Below are 25,109 nucleotides of genomic sequence, written 5' to 3'. Positions count from 1 at the left end.
GTGAAAGATTTATGCGATATGAAGAGAAACTAGAGTGACAACATGAATTTTGAAGGGGACAGTCAAACCATAGCAACTGGGATCTGAATCCTGACTTTACCACTTGCTAAATAGACAAATTCCTTAATCTCTATAACTCTGTTTCCTTTTTTTTTTTTTTTTTTTTGGTGAAATAGTTATAATGAAAGTGCTTACATTCTTGGGTTAATGTGAAGATTAAACAAGGTAATGAATATTACATTTCTTGAATATTTATAGTAAACATTCAAGAAATGTTTTGACTCTAGAAGTTACAATAAATCAATTATGAAATAACAAATTAGCATTTGATGCTAAATGTTGGGAAATTTGGGGCAGGTAAACTCTAAAGTGGATTGGAATAGGTAATTTCTAGTAAGGTGGAAGCAGGGTGGATAGGATGAAATGATTAAAAAATGAGAACTACTATGAGTTAGAGTTGTATCATTTCTCCATATAACTTGAATCTTTATACTTCAAACATTTGCACATTACATGTATATTTGTACATATAACACATACTTGTATATATATTCCCTATTACTATAATAGTATTTATTAAGAATAATGATGAATATTGTGCCGGGGAGTCCTCTAATTATGGCTTAAAAAGAAATCTTTCAGCTTGGGCAACATGGCGAAACCCCATCTCTACAAAAAAATACAAAAATTAGCTGGGTGTGATGGTGCACGCCTGTAGTCCCAGCTACTTACTGAGGCAGGAGATCGCTTGAACCTGGGAGGTCAAGGCTACAGTGAGTCGAGATTTCACCACTGCACTCCAGCCTGGGACACGAAGTGAGACCCTGTTTCAAAAAAAAAAAAAATTTAACAGAGTAAGAACCTATACTTTAACTGGAGGGCGATGTGAGGAGTCAAAATAATTGATTAATCAATTATGTCCTCAGCATTGAAAGTCATTGTTTTTGTCTGGAGATGTGTAAAACGTACACTTTGATCTCCAGTTGTTTATAGTCTACTTGGGAATATAAATCTAACAAGAAATATGTAATAACAATAATAACAGCTAACATTGTTGAGTACTGTGTACCGGGCATTGTACTGAGTACATTATATAAATTATTTTACTTAATCCTCATAACCATCAGAGTAGGAAGATTTCATCTTTTTTCCCTCTTTTTATAGTTGGAACTGAGGCTTAGATGTGTGCAAATAAGTGGCAAGGTTCAGATTCAAAATCAGCTAAATTTTATTTGAAGCCTAAAACACTTAACCCACCTACCTTTTATCTACTAAGCCTGTTAGTTCAAAGATTACCTGAAGGTAAATTTTATCAGGCCAGCTTTGGATCTGGGGGGAAAAAATGAAGGTAAATTTTAACTTGAATCGATCTAGACTGTTTATAATGGAATCTGTTGCCTAGCATAAGTTAAGCATGTTGAGGTCACAAAGGATAAGAAATTACCCTTAAGGGATGAAAATTCTTTAGAATAGAATGCAGTAGGCCCACGCAAACAACAACGTGTATAAATAGCTTAAATTAGCCTGTTTTTGCCTAAGTACATTAACTCAAAAGGAAACTCGGTTTAAGAAGTTCACTCCAAAAATAGTGCAAGAAGCATCACTGGTCCATAAAGAGGGGTGGAGTGGGTTACGTCATTTCAGCACCTTTTAAGGTAAAGGAGGAGGGAATCCTCTTGAACTCATTAGCCAATCAGGTTCTGAAGACACTTCCCAAGGCGACTTCCTGTCTCTCCACTTTCTTTCCCTCTCCGTTTTGGTGGGCTGGTGAGTGTGCGCTTAATTTTGCTCTCTAATTGTTTTGAATTTCTCTTCCATTTGAGTTATATACCCAGGTGGCAGGCCTTTATTTCAAGTCGGCATAGGAGTGTGTGTGAGTCGCAAGGAGATTAATTTCGGCTGTGTGGAGGTTGGGAGAAGGCAGTGAAATGCTCTTCCTGGCTTGTTTCCACGTGGGCCTCTGCAGTACTGGGTTTGCCTTCCGTCTCCGAGTCCTGGTGACCCAGGAACAATAGACTGTGCTTCATGTGCACAGTGCGTGTGTTCTTGGAAAACGCCGGCTTCATTTTGCTTGGCGGGAAAGATATTATCATCCTAATGCTGTTTTGATTTATATCTCCCTGGGTGAGGTCAGATTTCGGGAGAAGGCGTTCAGCTCAGTAGAGTTTAATTCTCCGGTGAGTGTCTAGAGGGCCCAGGTCCTTACTGGGTTTGTGGAAGCTGCAGCGTACCTTGTCTTTCTCCTGGCCTTCGCTCAGATCATTTCGGCTTTCTTGGTGAACCTGGGCAGCAAACTCTGAAGACAGATAAGCCTTAAAAGGAGCTCCTAATTTTTAATGTTGCCACTGTGGTGATTGTGTCCTTAAAAGCTATGGAAAAAGATTAGGGACCTTAGTTCAGGGCAAGCCTCTAGATTTAAATTCCAGCGCCACAGTTTACAGCTCTGGTGACCTTGGGAGAAGCAGTGAGCCATTCCGAGGCTTAGCTTTCCAAGATCAGATAAAATATATAAAAACTAGGCTCTAGTTGGTGTGTAATAAATGTTAGGTACCTTTAGAAGTAAGCAGTACTTATTTATTTACAGCAAGTATTTTGGATATCTGTTTTCTCATAAAAAGTTTGCTTAGTGACCTTCAATGTCATTTCACTGAATTCCTTTCTTTTGGTACATGTTAATTTTAATGTGATGTTTGTGTTGGATATTCTTATAGGCAGAAAGTGTGAGAAAGACAAATAATAAACCAGTTAATCGAATGTAGTAATAGGTATTTGTAGGCCTCCCATAATTTTTATAATTCTCAAGCATTGTTAAAATTTATTTTTTGGGGCATGGCGGCGCATGCCTGTAATCCCAGCTACTCGGGAGGCTGAGGCAGGAGAATCGCTTGAACCCGGGAGGTGGAGGTTGCGGTGAGCCGAGATCGCGCCATTGCACTCCAGCCTGGGCAACAAGAGCGAAACTCTGTCTCAAAAAAAAAAAAAAAAAAAAAAAAATATATATATATATATATATATGTATACACATCATATATATATATATTTTTGAATAGGTAATACATTCACATGGTTCAAAATTCAAAAGATATCAAAGTTTCTTATCCCCTTCCCTAAGCCATCCAATTCCTCTCCCTCATAACAGTGTTACTAAGATATTTTATGCATATAAGCAAATATGTGTAGGTATCCTTCCCTTTTACTATACCTACTCTACTATGTGTCTTACTTTTTCCACTTAAGTTCCATGAGTAGAGTGTTCACATTCTTCATAATGGTAACATAGTATTCTTTAAAAATTATTTTTTTTAAAAAATATATTTTTTCAGTAGGTTTTCAGGGTATAATGGTAACTCAGTATTCTAATTTATGTACCTACTATAATTTATTTAGCTTTTATCAGTAGGTATTCAGATAGTTTATGATCTTGATATTTCCCCCTCAAATGAATAACCTTGTAAATCAGTCAGTTGGCATAAAGGCATTTCAATTGGGTTTTGGTATATTCTTGTTTAAAAGGACTCTAGATATTTTGCAGTGCTTCCTATTTATATTTATTTTGTACACGGTGGTGATTAGAAACCAATCAATACTCTAAACTTGATTGAGCAATAAAGGATTTTCTACCGAAAGGAAAATCATCTTGATGGCTTTTATGTGAATATATCTTTGCCCACTTTGGTTTGAGTGGGGATGGTTTATCTTGTTATGAGCATGTGTTTAATGCTGGGAAGGAGTGACAGCAGTGGCCCAGAACAACCAAGTCATCTTTGTATTCACAGGGGCAGAAAGGGCATGCTTTCAGTGTTTACTTAGAAAATGTGTGCTGGATATGCCCCTGAACTCATGGTGTTGAGGGCATATTTTAGTATTAAGTTAGGAAAAGCTGAAATGTATTTTAGGATGTAAACATGCAAAATAAAAAAGGAAGCCTTTGGGAATTTCTCCAAAGCTGTTTTAGTCTTAAGAGGCTTAGTTCCGGTTTTTTAGGTGGAAGTTTTGTGAGTTGGGAAAACATTACATTCTTTCCAATGGAAGCATGCTTTTGTTAATAAGACTTCATAATACATTGGAGTCTTCATTGTTAAGTAGGAAATGAGGGGAAGGGGGAAGCAAACCTGTGTCTTTTTTGCTTGAAGGACAATATGGCCGGGCGCGGTGGCTCACGCCTGTAACCCCAACACTTTGGGAGGCCGAGGAGGGTGGATCACCTGAGGTCGGGAGTTCGAGACCAACCTGATCAACATGGAGAAACCCCGTCTCTACTAAAAATACAAAATTAGCCGGGCGTGTTGGTGCATGCCTGTAATCCCAGCTACTCGGGAGGCTGAGGCAGGAGAATCGCTTGAACCCGGGAGGTGGAGGTTGTGGTGAGCCGAGATCGCGCCATTGCACTCCAGTCTGGGCAACAAGAGTGAAAAAAAAAAAGGACACAATATCTTGGAGTTGGAAGGGCCCTTATGAGTACTATATGAGTGACCTTTCTGGCTTCTGGGTTATTGTGAGAAGTGTGACTTTTTGTTGTTAAATTTGTTTTTATTGTAGATTCACGGGGTACATGTGCAGGTTTGTTTCAGGGTATATTGCATGATGCTGAGGTTTGGGCTTCTATTGATCCTGCCATCTAGGTAGTAAACATTGTACCCAATAGGAAGTTTTTCAGCTCTTGCCCCTCTCTCTCTTTTCCTCCTTTTGGAGTACCTAGTGTCTATTGTTCCCAACTTTTTGTTCCTGTGAACCCAGTATTTAGCTCCCTACGCAAGATTTAGCTCCCAACGCAAGATTTAGCTCCCACTTATAAGTGAGAACATGCAATACTTGGTTTTCTGTTTTTGCATAAATTCGTTTAGGATAATGGCCCCCAGCAGCATCCAGCAGCTCCAGTTGCTGCAAAGGACATGTTTTTTGTTTTTTTTTTTTTTATGGCTGTGGAAAAGTGTGAAATTTTTAGGCAGAATATTTGCCTTTCTACTCACTAGCTGGTTGAGCTTGGGCAAGACATAGAAATAACATATTAAACATTTAACTCCATGCCAGCTACAGTGCAAAATGTATTTATTACCTCAGTCTTCACGGAAGTTTTAAGAGGTATGTAGTATTTGTCCTCATTTTACAGAGGGGACAGCTGAAGTTTAGAGAAGTTGCATAACTTACCCATGGGCACAGCAAATACATGAGAGAGCCAGGATTAAAATCTAGTTTAGTATGATTTCAAAATCTATTATTTTAGGGAATATTAATTAGTGCAGCTATGATGGAAAACAGTATGGAAATTTCTCAAAAAATTAAAAATAGAACTACCATATAATCCAGAAATCCCATTTCTGGGTATATTCAAAGGAAATAAAACTAGTATGTCAGAGATACCTATACTCCCATGTTCATTGCATCATTATTCACAAAAGCCAAGATACGGAATTGACCTAAGGGTCCATCAACGGATGAATGGATAAAGCAAATATTATACATATGTACAGTGGAATACTATTCTGCCTTAAAAAGGAAGGAAACTGATAGTGAGTGGGAAATAAAACTTGGAGTCTGTTCTGATAGCAGTACCTTATATAACTATCTCTAAAGGAAAACTATACCAAGCTATTAGTCTAGTATTTACTTCCTATGAACAAAATTTTGTGTGTTCATTTTGTTTCAGGTTGAAGATGAAATCCACTGAGGAGGGAAGTCCAGCACCCTGTGTGCCAGTCCAGAACTGGCCCATCTGTAGACCCCCTGAAAATCATATGGGCTTGGATTTGGATATTCTCAACAGAAAGGGTTAAAGGCTGATGGTACCTAAAGCCTGGTACTTGAATTTTGATCAAGATAAGCTGCCTTAAGTTCTCTTCATTACACGTATGTGTGTCTTTCCTATCTAAAAAGCCTAGCTTAGAGATTCGAGTTACCATTGTATCCTATAATGCTAGGTGGCACTGAGTAAATTGGAATAGAGTCAAAAGGAATGGTGATGAAATCTTAACACGAGTATCTGCTGATTTAGTATCAATTTGTAGTTTGTATTAGGCCTTCATGAAGCATCTGTTCACACATATAAAATGTACCTTTTGGCTATGAACACTAGTACTTTGAAGTGATTACTGCCCACAGTCAACAAAATGCTGGGATCATTGATTGTTTATGGAGCATTTGCACAATACTTAGTAAATACGAAATGTCCTTTGTATGGTGGAATGACACTTGTTGAAGCATGCATGACTAGAATCCTGCAGGGAAGCATCACACATTGGGAAAGGTATCACATATTTAACATCAGGATTTATGTGCCAGGCTTTGTGCTATGTGTCAAAACAAAAAGACCAGGCCTCTTGCAATCTGGGTTTTGTTTGTGAGTTGAGATTAATAGAGAAGTTGTTCCTTTCAACCTATAATTATTATCCTGTAAGAATACTTAGATCAAGTAGTTTTTTTTTTAATTTCCTTTTTAAAAAAATTTATTTTAGGTTTGGAGAGATCAAGGAGTTTTAAGGTAGACATTGTTAAAACTGGAGAAACCTTTCACACCATGTCTTGCTTCTTGTCTACATTCTCTTAGTTAACCTTGCATCCTGCTGATCTGAAAACATTTTACATAGTTAAAGCTAAGTATAGGGCAAGGAAGGAGTAAAATAACATTTTGATCATATCTGTCTGAGATATTTAAAATGCTTCAGTTTCTTTCCAACCTACTGAGCTAGCATGTCACTGCATTACATTTTAAAGCAAACCTTTAGCTCTGTGTATTTCCTGTAGGAAGTACCATGGTGAATTGAAGAGTATGGAGTTTTGATGGAATTGAATTTAAATCCTAGCTCTTACTAGTTAGGTGACCTTAGGAAATTTATGTAATTTTTCTGAGCCTCAATTTTCCTGTAAATAGGGGGTTGTAAAATTTAAATGATACAAATTCTATACAGCTTGACAGATAGGATTTCTAAAGAATGATAGCCACTGCTTTCTTTTCTGTCAGCTTATTTTAGACCCATTCTTAAAGGCACTGATGTCCAATGGAGCCTTCTGTTATGATGGAAATGCTCTATGTTTGTACTGCCAATTTAGCTATTGAGTAATGAAAATGTGACTAGGGTAATGGGAGAAATTTAATTTTTAACTCTAATTAAGTGGTTACTTATTGGACATGCAACTTTAAGGTCCACTTGTGACCCACTCTTTTTGCTTCATGAAGCCTTCCTTGACCAATCCTACTTCTTTTCTTAACCTTACTTGCTTTCTACTACTTATTTGGTGGTATGTTAATTTCTGTGAGTCTTGTCTTTCTGGCTAGATTGTATCTGAGGTTATGGATTTTTAAATCTCCACACTGCTGCATGAAAAAGAACATAATGATGAAAGTATAACTGCAGTATTTTTAGCTAACAAGTTTTAGATGATCATTACAAGTAAATACAAAAAATTTTCTAGCTAGTAATTAGGTGAAGAGTAGGGAATAGTGTGAAGGTTGCCTGCAAAGATGAACTGCGTATCTAGTATGTATTTGACCTGAAAGTTCAGATGACACGCAAATGCTGGAAGAGGAAATTAAAGCAAGACTCTTTCTTACACTGCCATCTTGTGGCAGACTTGGGTTACAAATGTTACTAATTCAATTTTCCTATATAAAGGGAAGATTTTCTTCAGATTATTTTGACAAAGGATTACGAAGAGTAAAGGTTAAATACAATCCGGCATTGGCTCAAATGAAATTGAAACATGCTTTGAAAAAACTGACTATTTTGGATTATTTTCTCAGTTATCTGAATCTTAAAAGTTCTTGACTCCTTCCTCTTGCATAACTGTTTTCTTACTGTGAGGTTGTTGACCTTTATAGCCTTTCAGAAGTTGGTTAGACTATTGTGCAGTTTTATCCAAGCTTGTAAATTTATACAAAATTAAGCTTGTGTAGGGGTCCTGCTCGGTTTTTTTTTGTTGTTGTTGTTAAATTTTTTTTGTTTTGTTCGAGACGGGGTCTTACTCTGTTGCCTAGGCTGGAGTACAGTGGCACGATCACAGCTCACTGTAACCTTGAACTCCTGATCCTGCCCTATTTGATATTGAGCTTGGGCATTTGGTGACATTCTCCAAATAGATGAGTCAATAATTTATATTAATGAATGGAGAGTTAAATAAAGGATGAACGGTTACTCTAAATTTTCTTGTGACTTGGTATAGAACATGCTGGTGTGAGTTGTCATGTAATCATAACCTTTGTGAATTTATTTATGTTTTTTAAATTTTCCAGAAATGATCCTAGATAATTGATAGATCCTGTGGTTCAACTGGATTTCTAGATAGAAGCTGGATTCATGTGATGCCAGAGGTAAGAGTAAGAGCAAAATCTTCGTTTTTACCTCATTTGGATTTCTAATCACTTAGCAAGACTTGGGACTCGGTGTTATTAGTGGATGGAATTTGGTAATTAAAAAAAATCCCCAGTTCTAACCTTAGGAGAATTTTCCTGTTTAGGGATGAGGAGCCAGTGCTGGTTTGCCCTTCCTCAGTCATTTACAGTTTGCCATGATGAAATGCATGTTAAGTCCGTGTTTCAGCTGATCAGCCTGATTAAACACATGCTCTGAGCAGACTAAAGCTAGGGGCAAACACCTGCAATTGAATTCTGCTTGTTGGAATTCATACTGGGATTTAGTCTGTAATCCCAGGTAATTCTTAAATCTTAATAAATTATGAATTTGAGACTAATGTTTTGTTGTGCTTTGATCTTTTGTGATATCTCTATATCCCCAAAAAATCACTTTTGTGAGTTAGAACTAGGGTCAGGAATCATTAATCTAAAAGTTCAAACACTACAGAAAAAGCACTGGCAACTGGTATAATTCTATAGGCAATTTAGCCTGGCAGTTTTAAACTAATCATTATTTTATCAATCTATACATGTAGATTAAAGGAAACACAGAGTTGGTTAAATCAATTTTGTGAAGACTATACGGTACAACACTATAGAATCACTTAAAAGTTATGATACAGTTTTATGTTTATTGAAATAGAACGGTATTCATGACACATGAAAAACAGATTATATAGAGCAATATGTTTCTGCTTAAATATTTTTATATGCATATGTTTGCTTAAGAAAACTGAAAGGACATATATACTAAAATACTAGGGGGTTATTTTCTCTAGAATTGGGTTCTACAAGTAATCTTTTATTATTATAAACCTATTTTCTAATTTTATTGTATTCATGTATTGTAATATTTTAAAAGTTATTTTAGGTAACTTAGGACAAGCTTATATTCTTTACCCGTGCCTGCATTTTCAGCAGAGAATTAGGTAGAAAGAAGGGTGAAATACAGGAAATACAAACAACTCAAAGTAACATCAGGACTTGAAATAATTTTTTAGCTTTTGTTGTCTTTTGCAGGAGTAAAATTTCAAGAGACTGAAACCAGATCTGAGTTTCGCTGTTCCAGTCTGGACCTCTTTGGTGCTGTAAATCCTGGATATACTGTAGATGAGTACTGCGTTTTTCTTTTATGGTAAGGCTTACGTTGAGATTGAGAAGCTTTGCCATATATATGAGTCTTTGAAAATTCAGGTTTGTGACTTCATGGCCAGCTGCTAAGGTGCTATAAATTTCACTTTTTTTTTTTTTTTGAGACGGAGTCTTGCTCTGTCGCCCAGGCTGGAGTGCAGTGGCGGGATCTCGGCTCACTGCAAGCTCCGCCTCCCGGGTTCACGCCATTCTCCTGCCTCAGCCTCCCAAGTAGCTGGGACTACAGTTGCCCGCCACTACGCCCGGCTAATTTTTTGTATTTTTAGTAGAGACGGGGTTTCACCGTTTTAGCCGGGATGGTCTCGATCTCCTGACCTCGTGATCCGCCCGCCTCGGCCTCCCAAAGTGCTGGGATTACAGGCGTGAGCCACCGCGCCCGGCTAAATTTCACTTTTTAAAAGTCAGTTGAGGCCAGGCGTGGTGGCTCACACCTGTAATCCTAGCACTTTGGGAGGCCGAGGTGGGTGGATTGTCTGAGCTCAGGAGTTTGAGACCAGACTGGCCAACATGGCAAAACCCCATCTCTACTAAAAAAATACAAAAAATTATCTGGGCCTGGTGGTGTGCGCCTGTAGTCCCAGCTACTCAGGAGGCTGAGGCTTGAACCCAGGAGGTGGAAGTTTTAGTAAGCAGAGAGAGCGCAACTATACTCCAGCCTGGGTGATAGGGAGATTCCGTCTCCAAAAAAAAGAGTCAATTAAAGATGTTGAGAAGTAGCATTGTATAGTATATATATGGGTTCTGGAGTCAGACTGAGTTCAAACGCATGCTCTATCACTTCACCAGTTATGCAGCATTGGCAAGTTTCCTAATATCTATGTCTTAGTTTTATATTTTAGAGGATGGCAATAGTATTTGACTCAGGGTGGTTATTTTGAAGATTAAATTAGTAAGGGTGTGGGTAAAGCATACGGTAAATGCTCAGTTTGATGTTAACTATTTGTCATCAGAATCCATGCGTATATTTCTCTTAGATTCTGTACTACCTGGCAATTTTTGACATCTGCATAATAGATTGACGAAAATTCTTTGTTTTGGCCTGACGTGGTGGCTCATGCCTGTAAACCCAGCACTTTGGGAGGCGAGGTGGGCAGATCACCTAAGGTCAGGAGTTCAAGACCAGCCTGGCTAACATGGTGAAACCTCGTTTCTACCAAAAATACAAAAATTAGCTGGGTGTGGTGGCGTGCACCTGTAATCCCAGCTACTTGGGAGGCTGAGGCAGGAGAATCGCTTGAATCTGGGAGGCAGAGGTTGTGGTGAGCTGAGATCGCACCACTGCACTCCAGCTTGGGTGACAGAGCTAGACTTCGTCTCAGAAAAAAAGAGGAAATTCTTTGTTTTTATTGCTCATATATCTTTCTGTTAATTAGACTACCCCTCATTACCTTCACCCCGCCCCTCAAAACTTAATTAAGTTCTAGAATTAGTCATAGGCACTATAATGTGTATCTTTATATAATTGTTGGAATAACATTTTCTTTAGTTGGTTAATCTTGATTTTGGTACTAACTTGTTATCTAGTTCCTCATTTTCCCTTGCTGGATCAGTTGATCCTTAATGATCTCTTCTAGTTCTTACTTTTTTTTTTTTTTTTTTTTTTTGAGACGGAGTCTCGCTCTGTCGCCCAGGCTGGAGTGCAGTGGCACGATCTGGGCTCACTGCAAGCTCCGCCTCCCAGGTTCACGCCATTCTCCTGCCTCAGCCTCCTGAGTAGCTGGGAATACAGGCGCCCGCCACCACGCCTGGCTAATTTTTTTTGTATTTTTAGTAGAGACGGGGTTTCACCGTGGTCTCGATCTTCTGACCTCATGATCCACCCGCCTCGGCCTCCCAAAGTGCTGGGATTATAGGCGTGAGCCACCACGCCCGGCCTCTAGTTCTTACTTAGATGTAATGATTCCTATCTTATAAGAGTCTCTTGATGTCTTCATTTTTTTTTTTTTGAGACAGGGACTCATTCCATTGCCCAGGCTGGAGTGCAGTGGCATAATCAGGGCTCACTGCAGCCCTGGCTTCCCAGCCTCGGGTGATTCTCTCACCTCAGGCTCCCAAGTAGCTGGGACCACAGGCCACCATGCCTGGCTAATTTTTTGTATTTTTTTGTAGAGATGGGGTTTTGCCATGTTGCCCAGGTTGGGATGTCTTTATTTTTTATAAACGTTTCTTAAATTAATGTGGTTGGAGTTAAACTTTGATGGCTGTTCCTCTCACTGCTTGAAGCCTTAGGCAGTGGGATTTTGATCCATCATATATCAAAAATGGCTTATCTTCACTCAGGGCACCATGAGGATGGGCTGGCTGTCCGTTAGTGCCTTCTGATTTTTGCGGAGTCAAACAATTACTAAACGGGTGGTGATTCCAGATTAAGAAAATGTACCTGTGATTAAAAAAATAAAAGAAGCAGCCTAGTTTCAAAACACGAGCATATAGTAATTAGATAGCTGTCATCTGGTGCTGTGAAATAAAGCCAGTTGATTCTGAGAGTTACTGAAACATTATACTCTAAAGTCATTCATGTTCAAATTTTAAATGGTTTACTCAGTTTTTTAGAGTGGTTGCTCACACACGTCAGGGCAGTTTTAAAAATACACTTTTTGGCTGGGTGCGGTGGCTCACACCTATAATCCCAGCACTTTAGGAGGCTGAGGTGGGCGGATCACCTGAGGTCAGGAGTTCGAGACCAGCCTGGCCAACATGGTGAAACCCTGTCTCTACTAAAAATATAAAAATTAGTTGGGCATGGTGGTGTACACCTGCAGTCCCAGCTACTTGGGAAGCTGAGGCAACAGAATCGCTTGAACCCGGGAGGTGGAGATTGTAGTAAGCCGCGATTGTGCCACTGCACTCCAGCCTGGGTGACAGAGTGAGATACTCCGTCTCAAAAAAAAAAAAAAAATTATATATATATATATAAAACTTTTCTTTGCAGTATGAAGGTAGATAATTCTTCAAGTTAAAGATGGACTTTTTTCACCAGAAATGGCTTTATGGAATCAATTTGCAAAAATGTAAGAGGTGGCAAAGGAAAGAATAAAATAATATTTTCATTTTCTTCTGTTATTCTTAGATCCTTTGGTAGATTGTAAACTCCATGAAAGCAGGATACCTTCTTTTGCCCTAAGGCTTGGCCCAAAAGAGATACCAAAAAAATACTTGCTTATATACTAACCTAGTCTCTGGGTGTGGGAGCCATAGAGGGTTCAGGGTGGGGTGGTGGGGAAGGTGGGGGAAGCCCTGATTGACAAACCAGGGCGGTTTCCAAAAGGAATTCTTGGCATATGTACTCAAGGAGACATGTATAGAACATTCACTGTGGTATTGTTTTTAATTGTAAAACCTGGAATCAGTGCCTATTATAAGAATGACTGCCAAAACCAATCTATTTATGTGAGGAATAGATACATAAAACCTTACTGGTATTTAGTAGGAAATCTTTTATTGTTAATATTTTATTTACAATCTTACTTGATATTTATCATTGAGTTAAATTGCACATACCATTCAGGTATGGTTAAAAACTCATTTCTGCTTCATGTTGAAATATTCTCAATTGTTTTGACTAAAGTATACTGTCCTATATGCTGTGTTTACATCCATGATGGTATATTTAACATGCAAGGGGTACAAAATAAAAATCCAAATATTGAAAGTCTGGTATACTTCACTGTTTTTGTAATGAGATTTAATACTCGTGCTTATACCAGAATCTCACAAATGGTATGCAACTGTAATAACTTGTGTTGGCCAGAATATGAAACGTATTCTTTAAATTAAGATTCTTGATCACGCCGATGATCCCAGCACTTCAGAAGGCCGAGCAGGGTAGATCACGAGGTCTAGGAGTTCAAGACCAGCCTGGCCAAGATGGTGAAACCCCGTCTCTACTAAAAATACAAAAAAAATTAGCTGGGTGGGGCAGCGTGCCTGTAGTCCCAGCTATGCGGGAGGCTGAGGCAAGGAATTGCTTGAACCCGGGAGGCGGAGGTTGCGGTGAGCTGAGATCGTGCCACTGCACTCCAGCATGGGTGACAGAGCAAGACTCCGTCTCAAAAAAAAAAAAAGATTCTTGAAATTGCTTCATCGATAATATACATTTCATGAATATTCAGTAGTTTGTCTAAAAACAGTAAACAACTGAGTTAAACCATTTTACAAATTACAAGAAATATGTTAGGTCTTCAGGCAGTCAGACTTTTCTGTTGCAAATCTCAACTTTTGGCTATAAAAACAAGGTATCAAAATAAACAGGAAGTTACTTCTATGTGTTCAAATATAGCACAACTACTACTTGAAACTCAAAGCCTTTTCTCCTTAATTATAATATCTTCAGACTGCTTTTCTCTATATAGATTCTCATGGAAAGTATTTCTTTTTTTTTTTTTGAGACGGAGTTTGCTCTTGCTGCCCAGGCTGGAGTGCAATGGTGTGATCTCGGCTCACTGCAAACCCGCCTTCCAGGTTCAAGCTATTCTCCTGCCTCAGCCTCCTGAGTAGCTGGGATTACAGGCATGCACCACCATACCCAGCTAATTTTTGTATTTTTAGTAGAGATGGGGTTTCTCCATGTTGGTCAGGCTGGTCTCGAACTCCCGACCTCAGGTGATCCACCCACCTTGACCCCCCAAAGTGCTGGGATTATAGGCGTGAGCCATTGCGCCTGGCCTGATTCTCATGGAAAGTATTTCATATCTATAATTTTTTTTTTTTTTTTTTTGAGACGGAGTCTGGCTTTGTTGCCCAGACTGGAGTGCGGTGGTGTGATCTTGGCTCACTGCAACCTCCGCCTCCCGGGTTCAGGCTATTCTCCTGCCTCAGCCTCCCAAGTAGCTGGGATTACAGGTGCCTGCCACCACATCCAGCTAATTTTTGTGTTTTTTTGTAGAGATGGGGTTTGATCATGTTGGCCAGGCTGGACTCAAACTCCTGACCTCAGGTGATCCACCTGCCTTGGCCTCCCAAAGAGCTGGAATATAATTTTGTTATTCTGAGTAGTTTTGTCTTTGTGGTTGGTTGCCTTGTTTTTTTATAGCCAATAAATATGATGAAATATCATTCTAAAAGCAAATGAAATACATTTCTAATATTTTGATGCATATTGTATCCCTTGCATGGTAAATATAACCTAGGAATGTTACAGACTAGACTACCACTCCATCAAATACTGAAGTTGTTGGAATGTTTGCTTTCTTGAATGTCGTGGTCACTCTGGCCTGGCCTTCACAACTCTTATTGTAAGTTATTCAGACTCTTTATGTTGGGAAGAATGAATTAAAGTTGTATATATGAAAAGCAAAACTTTAGAATTATTGAAAACAAGAGTATGATATTGGAGTAGACATAAGTACAAAAAGGAAAAGTTGATAAATTTGTGTACACTAAAATTCAAACTTATGTTTGCATGTCATATTACTGTTAAATGACTCCATATAAATCAAGAAAGTCATCAAAGGACATGAACAGGCAAATCACAGATGAGGATCCCTGAGTAGTCATTCAGATGAAAAAATGCTCACTCTTACGAGTAATGAAAGAGTTGTACATTAAAACAACACTGAGATACCATTTCGCTGTCATCAGATAGACAACAATGAAATAAAGTAAAACAACTTGACATGTGTGCATGTTGCTGAATTTATAGCATTGGGCTCTTCTATACTTTGCTGGTGGCAGTGAAATTTATGCTTTTACTTTGGAGAGTGGTTTGGCAACATTTAGTTGATTTGAAGTTGCTGATATACTAACCCAGGCTCTGGGTGTTATATTCTAGAGGAATTTTTGGCACGTGGACTCAAGGAGACATGTACAGAATGTTCATTGCAGTATTGTTTTTAATTGTAAAAACCCGCAATCAATGTCTATTAGAAGAATGGATAAATTGTAGCATATTTGCAGTACATGTTGTTAAAATGAATTAATGTTAAGTATTTATTAACTTAGATACATCTCCAGGAAGTGATCATATTGCAGTGCAAAGGGAATTGGCTAGGATCACAAAGTTAGGTACTAGTCAAATTAGAATATTTTGCATTTTTCAACTTTAAATGAGTTGTACTATTTTTTGTATTAATATTTCTACATTTGGCATAGTTAAAACCAGAATTCACACAGAAGGCTCAAACAGCCAAAAACAGATGTTAGGGAGTATATGGTTCACACATGAAGATCTCCTTTTTTTGGAACTGGTTTATACCAAAATTAAATTACCACTTTAAAGTTATCAGAAGATATTTTAGGAAATGTACAAAGGCCTAATTACTCCGAAACAGATGACAAACCTTGTAGGAAGTTGCACAGTTTTTGACAGTTTTTTGTTTGAAGGAAAAAGATTTGATATTATGGTTTGGCACTACTCAGGGGTTTGCAGGGTTTGATGTCCACTGCGTGGCTAATTGCATCTGTTACTAATTCATAATAGGTTCACAACATCTGGAAAGATGGCTACAAAAGACGGTATAAGGCTGGGCATGGTGGCGCACGCCTGTAATCCCGGCACGTTGGGAGGCCGAGGTGGGTGGATCACTGGAGGTCAATAGTTTGAAACCAGCTTGGCCAACATGGCGAGACCCTTTGTCTACTAAAAATACAAAAATTAGCGGGGTGTGGTGGCATGTGCCTGTAATCCCAGCCACTCGGGAGGCTGAGGCAGGAGAATCGTTTGAACCCGGAAAGCGGAGGTTGCAGTGAGCCGAGATCGCGTCACAGCACTCCAGCCTGGGCGACAGAGTGAGACCCTATCTGGAAAAGAAAAAAAAGCTTCATTAAGGTTTATATCCTGAGGACCCGTCTAGCTTTCCTCTTCAGGTTAATTTTTAATCTGAATTCTAACAGATCCATATAGATTAAGCAGAAAATAATTACCTAAAGCAGCTGCTATGGGTAAGCACAGAAGGGCAAAGAAAATGACAGGCAACAGCATTAGAGTAAAACTGGCACAGTGCAATCATTTAAACACTGCTAGCAGTTCCAGGAGAGCACGCAGGTAGGTCACCTCAAAGTTCTGACCCTCAATACTATCAATTAATTAAATAATTTTTTTTTTTTTTTAAAGACGGAGGGTCGCTCTTGTTGCCGTGGCTGGAGTGCAATGGTGCGATCTCGGCTCACTGCAACCTTTGCCTCGTGGGTTCAAGTGATTCTCCTGCCTCAGCCTCCCGAGTAGCTGGGATTGCAGGCGTCCACCACCACGCCCAGCTAATTTTTGTATTTTAGTAGAGAGAGGGTTTCACCGTGTTGGCCACGCTGGTCGGGAACTCCTGACCTCAGGTGATTTGCCCGCCTCAGCCTCCCAAAGTGTTGGGATTACAGGCGTGAGCCACCGCGCCCGGCCCACTATCGCTTAATTTAAAGAGCTGTAATGCATGTTTGTAATGCAGACTCAAGGAAAATTATAATTTCCTTAAATGTGTATAGAGGATGTGTGAGAGTGGAAAGATGTCTATTCCAAGGTGGATAAAAAATAAAATGGTGGACTACCTCAACATGGAGGTGCCAGCTGTCCAATTACAGCTGTCACTCTGTTTCTGGGAATTTCTCCCGATTCTTAGCCGGAGCTGCGGCCCGCAACTCCCTCAGCCTGGCAGGTCCCAGGATGCTTCGGGGCAACCCCACGCATGCGCGCTCTGGCGTAGTTCCCTGAAGCACTCGCTCGCAGAGAATCCTGGAATCTTCGCTTGTGGAGCTGTGGAGGCAACGGAGTTTTTCCGCGCTTTTTCTTTCAGCCTCAGATTAAGTATCATTTGTTACTATTATTTTCTCTACTGAGCGTGGAAAGCTGGCTGAAAATTCCAGAGTGTAATTTCTGTGGGTCTGTTTCTCTAAAACTTGCCCCTCACGCAGCTTGTACAGAAGTTAGATTGGCGCTTACTCCCAGCTGGTGGAAGATTCGGAATTAGCTGCGCCTCTGCTGCGTGAGAGAGGGCTCAGCTTTAAAGCTTCCCAGCTCCTCTGCTTTCCCGCTGCCCCCTACTCTGCCGGATGTAAAATAGGCCTCTTAATCTTAACTGTGGCTGCCAGGTGACATACCTGAGGAAACTCACTCAGCGGGGCTATTGGGATAAAGGTGTGCGAGTGTTCTTTTCTATCGACCTGGAGGGCCAAGGCAACTTTTTTTTTTTTCCTTCTGGGACGGAGTCCGTCGCCGGCTGGAGTGCAATGGCGCGATCCCGGCTCACTGCAAGCTCCGCCTCCCGGGTTCAAACGAGTCTCCTGCCTCAGCCTCCTGAGTAGCTGGGACTACAGGCGCCCGCCACCACACCCAGCTAATTTTTTGTATTTTTAGTAGAGATGGGATTTCACCATGTTAGGCTGGTCTCGAACTCCTGACCTCGTGATCCGCCCGCCTTGGCCTCCTAAGGTGCTGGAATTATACAGGGGTGAGCCACCGCGCCCAGCCTATATATATACATGTTATGAGAGAGATTCTTGCTCTGTCCCCCAGGCTGGAGTGCAGTGATGCGATCTCACTTCACTGCAACCTCTGCCTCCCGGATTCAAGTGATTCTCCTGCCTCAGCCTCCCGAGTAGCTGGGATTAGAGGCTTGAATCACCACGCCTGGCTAATTTTTGTATTTTTAATAGAGACTGGGTTTCACCATGTTGGCCAGGCTGGTCTGGAACTCCTGACCTGAAGGGACCCCGCCTGCCTTGGCTTCCCAAAGTGCTGGGATTGTACGCTTGAGCCACTGAGCCTGGCCCACGTATATATTATTTTTGACGTTAGCAAGATCTGTAACCACCTTTGTCTTTACCTTTGTCCTTAAAGCGTTTTTAGAAAACCGGACAAACGAGCACAATTAATATTATTGAGTAACTGAAATCAATATATCAATTATAATAAATACAAGGAATATAATAAAATGTGCAGTATTTTATGATAAAAACGTGCATGTTATATTTCTTTTTTACTTTTATTTTCATTGCAATTTAACTTACTTGGCCTTTTTATTTACCCCTTCTTAGGCCTCTCTTCAGCTTCTGGAGACCTCACTATCCTATTATGTCTTTGTGTGAAGACATGCTGCTTTGTAATTATCGAAAGTGTCGCATCAAACTCTCTGGCTATGCATGGGTCACTGCCTGCTCTCACATCTTCTGTGATCAGCATGGCAGTGGTGAGTTTAGTCGCTCACCAGCTATCTGTCCTGCCTGCAACAGTACCCTTTCTGGAAAGCTAGATATTGTCCGCACAGAACTCAGTCCATCAGAGGAATATAAAGCTATGGTATTGGCAGGACTGCGACCAGAGATCGTGTTGGACATTAGCTCCCGAGCGCTGGCCTTCTGGACATATCAGGTTAGTGCTTAGTCTAGTTTCTCTTGAGCATGTGATTTATGGCATTTGTGGGAACTTCTAGTGTCTTTCCTTCATTGTATTATTATTAATTTTTTATGAGTATATGAGAAACTCTTTTTATTAAATTGTTTTCAAAAGCAATACTGTTTATTGTTGAAAATCAAAAGGAAGAAAATTAAAGCACTCATAATTCCATCACTCAGAGATAACCATTGTTTATATTTTGGGTATACACACACACACACTCACACACTCTCTCTCTCTTCTGTATAAAAGTAAGATAACACACACACTTTTATTGTTAAGAGTTGACAGTATATTATATCTGGTATGAATTTTTCTTCCTTTTGAGACGGGGTTTTCTTGTGTTGCCCAGGCTAGTCTCTAACTCCTGGGTTCAAGCCATTCTCCCGCCTCAGCCTCCTGAGTAGCCTGTGCTTCACTTGGTATGAATATCTTGTTAAATATTTTTTAGTTAACTATTCTATAATCATATTTTAATGGTTATATTGTATCATAATTTATTTCCAAGTTATTAAAATGCTATGATAAGCATTCTTATCAAATACGCATCCTTAACTTTTTCCCTTTATGATTTCTACTTTTAGTATTTCCTTTGAAAGACCTCCCTGTGGATGACTTTAAGCATGTCCTTGAATGTATTGTTATATCTTACATATACACTTATACTTCTTAAGGATGTTTGTCATCTGTCAAGTAACTTTTTATTATATTTTTCTGGGTAAGTTGTTTCTCTTACATGCTCCTCTATTTTTCAACTCCTTTGGTTAAATACCAAATAGTGTTTTTGCTGGCTTATGTGGTGAGAGTATGTTTATTTTTGTAAGCAACTGCCAAATTGTCTTCCAAAGTGGCTATACCATTTTATATTGCCAGCAGCAATGAATGAGAATTCCTGTTGCTCCACATCTTTGCCAGAAGTTGGTATTGTCCATGTTCTGGGTCTTGGCCATTTTAATAGGTGTATAGTGGTGTCTCATTTTAATTTGCATGTCTCTGATGACATATGATGTGGAGCATCTTTTCATATGCTTTTTTGCCTTTTTTTTTTTTTTTTTTTTTTTTTTTTGGTGAGGTGTATATGAAGTTCTTGGTCTTTTTTTTTTTTTTTTTTTGAGACGGAGTCTCGCTTTGTTGTCCAGGCTGGAGTGCAGTGGCGCGATCTCAGCTCACTGCAAGCTCTGCCTCCCGGGTTCACGCCATTCTCCTGCCTCAGCCTCCCGAGTAGCTGGGACTACAGGCGCCCGCCACCACGCCCGGCTAATTTTTTGTATTTTTAGTAGAGGCGGGGTTTCACCGTGTTAGCCAGGATGGTCTCGATCTCCTGACCTCATGATCCGCCCACCTCTGCCTCCCAAAGTGCTGGGATTACAGGCATGAGCCACCGCGCCCGGCCGAGTTCTTGGTCTATTTTTAAATTGTTTTCTTATTGTTGAGTTTTAAGTGTTCTTTTTATCCTTACTGTTGAGTTTGAAGTATTCTTTGATCCTTTATCAGAGCTATCTTTTGCAAATATACTCTCCTGATCTGTGGCTTGTCTTTTTATTCTCTTACAGGGTCTTTCACAGAGCAGAGATTTTTAAGTTTAATGAAGTCCTGCTTATCAATTTTCTCTTTCACGGATTATACCTTTGGTGTATTTTAAAAGTCACTGCCAAATCCAAGATCCACCTGGATTTTACCCTATGTTATCTTCTGGGAGTTTCATAGTTTTGCATTTTATGTTTAAGTCTGTGAACCATTTTGAGTTTATTTTTGTGAAAAGTATAAGATCTGTCTAGATTCATTGGGTCCTCAATTTTTTGCTGGCTATTGGCCAGAGGCTGTTCTTAGTTACTTGTCTCTTGGGCCTTCCTGACATGACTGCTTGCTTCCTCAAAGCCAGCAAGGGAGTGTGTCTCCTAGTAAGACAGACCTTATAGTCTTAGGTAATATACTTATGAAGTGACAACCTGTCACATTTTCTGTAGTATTCTAGTCACAGGTCCTGCCCACGTGCAAGGGGATAGGGAGTTACACAAGGGTGTATGTACCAGGAGACGATAATTTGTGGTTGTCTTAGAGTCTATTCTTCATGCTCTGGATTACTTGAAAAATGGGATTATATTTCTTAAAAACCTTTGGAAAACATGTCACTTGTTAAGACAAATACTCAGTTCTTTTGGTGGTATAAAGTTAGTGGTTTGAGAGTATTCTTCCAGACTTTTTTTCTATGCATTTAGTAACATAACTTATTGTTTTCTGTGCCTCATTGTGTATCCTGATTGCTTCTTAAACTGGGTTCTAAATGATAAAATAACATCCCTATATAAGCATCTTTCTTTTCCTTTTGTGTTTGTATAACATTTTACAATATATAACTTTGTACCCAATACCTTAAAAATCTTTTTTCTTTTGGAACCAGGTACATCAGGAACGTCTCTATCAAGAATACAATTTCAGCAAGGCTGAGGGCCATCTGAAACAGATGGAGAAGATATATACTCAGCAAATACAAAGCAAGGATGTAGAATTGACCTCTATGAAAGGGGAGGTTACCTCCATGAAGAAAGTACTAGAAGAATACAAGAAAAAGTTCAGTGACATCTCTGAGAAACTTATGGAGCGCAATCGTCAGTATCAAAAGCTCCAAGGCCTCTATGATAGCCTTAGGCTACGAAACATCACTATTGCTAACCATGAAGGCACCCTTGAACCATCCATGATTGCACAGTCTGGTGTTCTTGGCTTCCCATTAGGTAAGAAAGGACATGTATCAAGTGTCTGTTCTTTAAATCAATGATTTTTTATACTGCTCTGCCCACTTCCAAGCATTCAGTCGAGACGATAAGGATAAGACAAGCATTGAGTTGTGGTAGGCTCTGAATTCTTCACCCATGTTTCAACCTGTACATCATTGCTTTTATCTATTGTATTTGCTTACATTTAAATTAAAGCTTTAATTTGAGCAGTTAATCTCTGCAAAATGAAAGTTTGCACATTGCTACATTAAGTTAAAAGCTATGTAGTTGTAGTAATAATAATATTAGCTGTCATTTATTGATTCCTAAGTGCTAGGCACTGTTGTGTTTTATATAAATTCATATAATTTACAAAACCTTATGAAGTAAGTATTATTATCCTTCTTTTATACAGATGAGAAAGCTGAGGCACAGAAAGTTAAGTAATTTGGTCAATATCACTAACCTGTTTTCAGAGCCTATACTCTTAACCATTTGCTATCCTCCAAGAAGGCCATGTTTCAATTTTTTTCACCTGCCAATACTGATTGTACAGTTCTTAAGTTGTCAGTTTGGTTGTTTTGTTCTTTTGTCTAATCATTTTTCCATTTATCAAATATTTAGCAAATATGTTTTATGTACCAGCTTGTTAGGTATGATCCTAACTAATGAGGATATAAAGGTTATCCAAATAGGGTTCTTTCTTTAAATCACAATCTAGTATGATGCCATCTCTTTTCTGCTTGTTAGGTGCCTTGCAGACGGAATGAATCTCATATCTTCCTGAGCTCTCTCCTTTATACTACTCTTTATGCAACAAAATCTAATAGATTTTTGCTATGCTATTAATGGAAATTGTTTTTGGCATACAAAAAAGTGAAGCCTCTTGTGCTGGACTTTCCTAATACTCATTTTTGGATATTTACTATAGGCTGAGGAAAAAGATTTAATAGGGGAGGAGCTGATGTCTTATAAAAAGTATGAGGTGGTCAGGTGCGGCCCAGCACTTTGGGAGATTGAGGTGGGAGAATCACTTGAGCCCAGGAGTTTGAGACCAGCCTGGGCAATATAGTGAGACCCTGTCTCTACAAAAAAAAAAGGTGGGGGGCAGGTTTGAGGTGATGAGATGAGGAATATCAGATATAAGAATAAAAACCTAAATTTCTGCTTAACTTTCAGTTTTACTTATATAATGTAATTTAGTCAATCAGAGTTACTGTAAATGGGCATTATAGATATACTTATTTTTTTGTCACTGTCCACATTTGTCTTATTTTTTTCATATTCACCAGTTCTTTCCCATTCCTCTTTTTGTACACAGTTAACCTTTTTATGTCCTGCTGCCACTGTTAGCTTGAAGGATATATAGTCAGCATTTTCCTTTAGTTATTTGGTCCTTTAAAACCTGTAAAAGCCAAGGAAGGGTTCAGTGGAAGTAGTTAAATGTTAATTTAATCAGATCTATTATCTGCTTGTCTTAAGCCTATGCTAATTGATATTGGGTCATGGTATATGCCAATATTTCAGTTATATTTTTTCTAGAATGTTTATTGCAATGTTTTTTTAAAAAAATTCTTAACCTGGGGTAAAAGATTTTATATGTCTGTTTTTTTCTAAGACAAATATTGGAGAAAAAATATATATTCATATATATATATTTGATGATTCCTCTGAAGTAGATTATATAGATAACAAATGAATAAAATTATGTTTTTCCTTTTTTTCTGCCCTAGGTAACAACTCCAAGTTTCCTTTGGATAATACACCTGTTCGAAATCGGGGCGATGGAGATGGAGATTTTCAGTTCAGACCATTTTTTGCGGGTTCTCCCACAGCACCTGAACCCAGCAACAGCTTTTTTAGTTTTGTCTCTCCAAGTCGTGAATTAGAGCAGCAGCAAGTTTCTAGCAGGGCCTTCAAAGTAAAAAGAATTTGAGCCACGCATAGTGTCACGCACCTGTGATCCCAGCTACTTAGGAGGTTGAGGCTGGGAGGATCACTTGAGCCCAGGAGTCTGAGGCTTTAGTGATCTAAGATCATGCCACTGCACTCCAGCCTGGGCAACAGAGTGAGACCCTGTTTCTAAAAAAAAATAAAGATAATTTAGCTAACTTTACAGACTGTTTCTATGTTCATCTTTAGTGATTTCATTTAGCAAATCTTTTTTCTTTTTTTTTTTTTTTTTAACTTTTTTTTTTAATTTTTATTTTTTTTATTGATCATTCTTGGGTGTTTCTCGCAGAGGGGGATTTGGCAGGGTCATAGGACAATAGTGGAGGGAAGGTTGGCAGATAAACAAGTGAACAAAGGTCTCTGGTTTTCCTAGGCAGAGGACCCTGCAGCCTTCCGCAGTGTTTGTGTCCCTGGGTACTTGAGATTAGGGAGTGGTGATGATTCTTAACGAGCATGCTGCCTTCAAGCATCTGTTTAACAAAGCACATCTTGCACCGCCCTTAATCCATTTAACCCTGAGTGGACACAGCACATGTTTCAGAGGGCACAGGGTTGGGGGTAAGGTCACCGATCAACAGGATCCCAAGGCAGAAGAATTTATCTTAGTACAGAACAAAATGAAAAGTCTCCCATGTCTACTTCTTTCTACACAGACACGGCAACCATCCGATTTCTCTATCTTTTCCCCACATTTCCCCCCTTTCTATTCCACAAAACCGCCATTGTCATCCCGGCCCGTTCTCAAAGAGCTGTTGGGTACACCTCCCAGACGAGGTGGTGGCTGGGCAGAGGGGCTCCTCACTTCCTAGTAGGGGTGGCCGGGCAGAGTCGCCCCTCACCTCCCGGACGGGGCGGCTGGCCGGGCGGGGGGCTGACCCCCCCACCTCCCTCCCGGACGGGGCGGCTGGCCGGGCGGGGGGCTGGCCCCCCCACCTCCCTCCCGGACGGGGCGGCTGGCTGGGCAGAGGGGCTCCTCACTTCCCAGTAGGGGCGGCTGGGCAGAGGCGCCCCTCACCTCCTGGACGGGGCAGCTGGCCGGGCGGGGGGCTGACCCCCCCACCTCCCTCCCGGACGGGGCGGCTGGCTGGGCAGAGGGGCTCCTCACTTCCCAGTAGGGGCGGCCGGGCAGAGGCGCCCCTCACCTCCCGGACGGGGCGGCTGGCCGGGTGGGGGGCTGACCCCCCCACCTCCCTCCCGGACGGGGCGGCTGGCCGGGCGGGGGGCTGACTCCCCCACCTCCCTCCTGGACGGGGTGGCTGGCCAGGCAGAGGGGCTCCTCACTTCCCAGTAGGGGCGGCTGGGCAGAGGCGCCCCTCACCTCCCGGACGGGGCGTCTGGCCGGGTGGGGGGCTGACTCCCCCACCTCCCTCCCGGACGGGGCGGCTGCCGGGCGGAGACGCTCCTCACTTCCCAGACGGGGTGGCTGCCGGGCGGAGGGGCTCCTCACTTCTCAGATGGGGCGGATGCTGGGCGGAGGGTCTCCTCACTTCTCAGACGGGGCGGCTGGGCAGAGACGCTCCTCACCTCCCAGACGGGGCGGCGGGGCAGAGGCGCTCCCCACATCTCAGACGATGGGCGGCCGGGCAGAGACGCTCCTCACTTCCCAGACGGGATGGCTGCC

General features: G+C 40.5%; 1 protein-coding gene and 2 non-coding genes across 5 annotated transcripts, besides 1 other annotated feature; all 3 read left to right on the top strand.

The window, feature by feature from the left end:
- Positions 1,663–1,972: an enhancer, noted in NCBI's record as "active region_8068". NCBI's record gives its function as "activates an Ori minimal core promoter by ATAC-STARR-seq in GM12878 lymphoblastoid cells {active_cell/tissue: GM12878}" and the evidence as "EXISTENCE:reporter gene assay evidence [ECO:0000049][PMID:35858748]".
- On the top strand, positions 1,742–23,651 carry CCNB1IP1 (cyclin B1 interacting protein 1). 3 transcript variants are annotated; one of them, NM_182852.4, is made up of 8 exons: positions 1,742–1,767; positions 5,648–5,847; positions 8,228–8,305; positions 9,368–9,482; positions 17,047–17,227; positions 18,461–18,794; positions 21,220–21,553; positions 23,269–23,651. In NM_182852.4, exons 6-8 carry the CDS (start codon positions 18,498–18,500, stop codon positions 23,469–23,471), a joined length of 834 nt encoding a protein of 277 aa, NP_878272.1. In that variant the 5' UTR covers positions 1,742–1,767; positions 5,648–5,847; positions 8,228–8,305; positions 9,368–9,482; positions 17,047–17,227; positions 18,461–18,497; the 3' UTR covers positions 23,472–23,651. The 3 variants fall into 3 exon arrangements, with proteins under 3 accessions (NP_878272.1, NP_067001.3, NP_878269.1); NM_021178.5 differs by lacking the exon at positions 17,047–17,227; NM_182849.3 differs by lacking the exons at positions 5,648–5,847; positions 17,047–17,227.
- SNORD126 (small nucleolar RNA, C/D box 126) lies at positions 8,482–8,580 on the top strand. The gene has a single exon (NR_003693.1). It is a non-coding gene; the product is annotated as a small nucleolar RNA, C/D box 126 (small nucleolar RNA).
- Positions 11,695–11,842, top strand: SNORA79B (small nucleolar RNA, H/ACA box 79B). Its single transcript, NR_145735.1, has one exon. It is a non-coding gene; the product is annotated as a small nucleolar RNA, H/ACA box 79B (small nucleolar RNA).
- Positions 23,652–25,109: the final 1,458 nt, after the last annotated feature.

The sequence above is a fragment of the Homo sapiens genome, chromosome 14, assembly GCF_000001405.40.
Source record: "Homo sapiens chromosome 14, GRCh38.p14 Primary Assembly".
Taxonomy (NCBI): domain Eukaryota; kingdom Metazoa; phylum Chordata; class Mammalia; order Primates; family Hominidae; genus Homo; species Homo sapiens.
The sequence above is the reverse complement of the archived record's forward strand: the minus strand, read 5'-3'. Positions and strand labels throughout refer to the sequence as shown.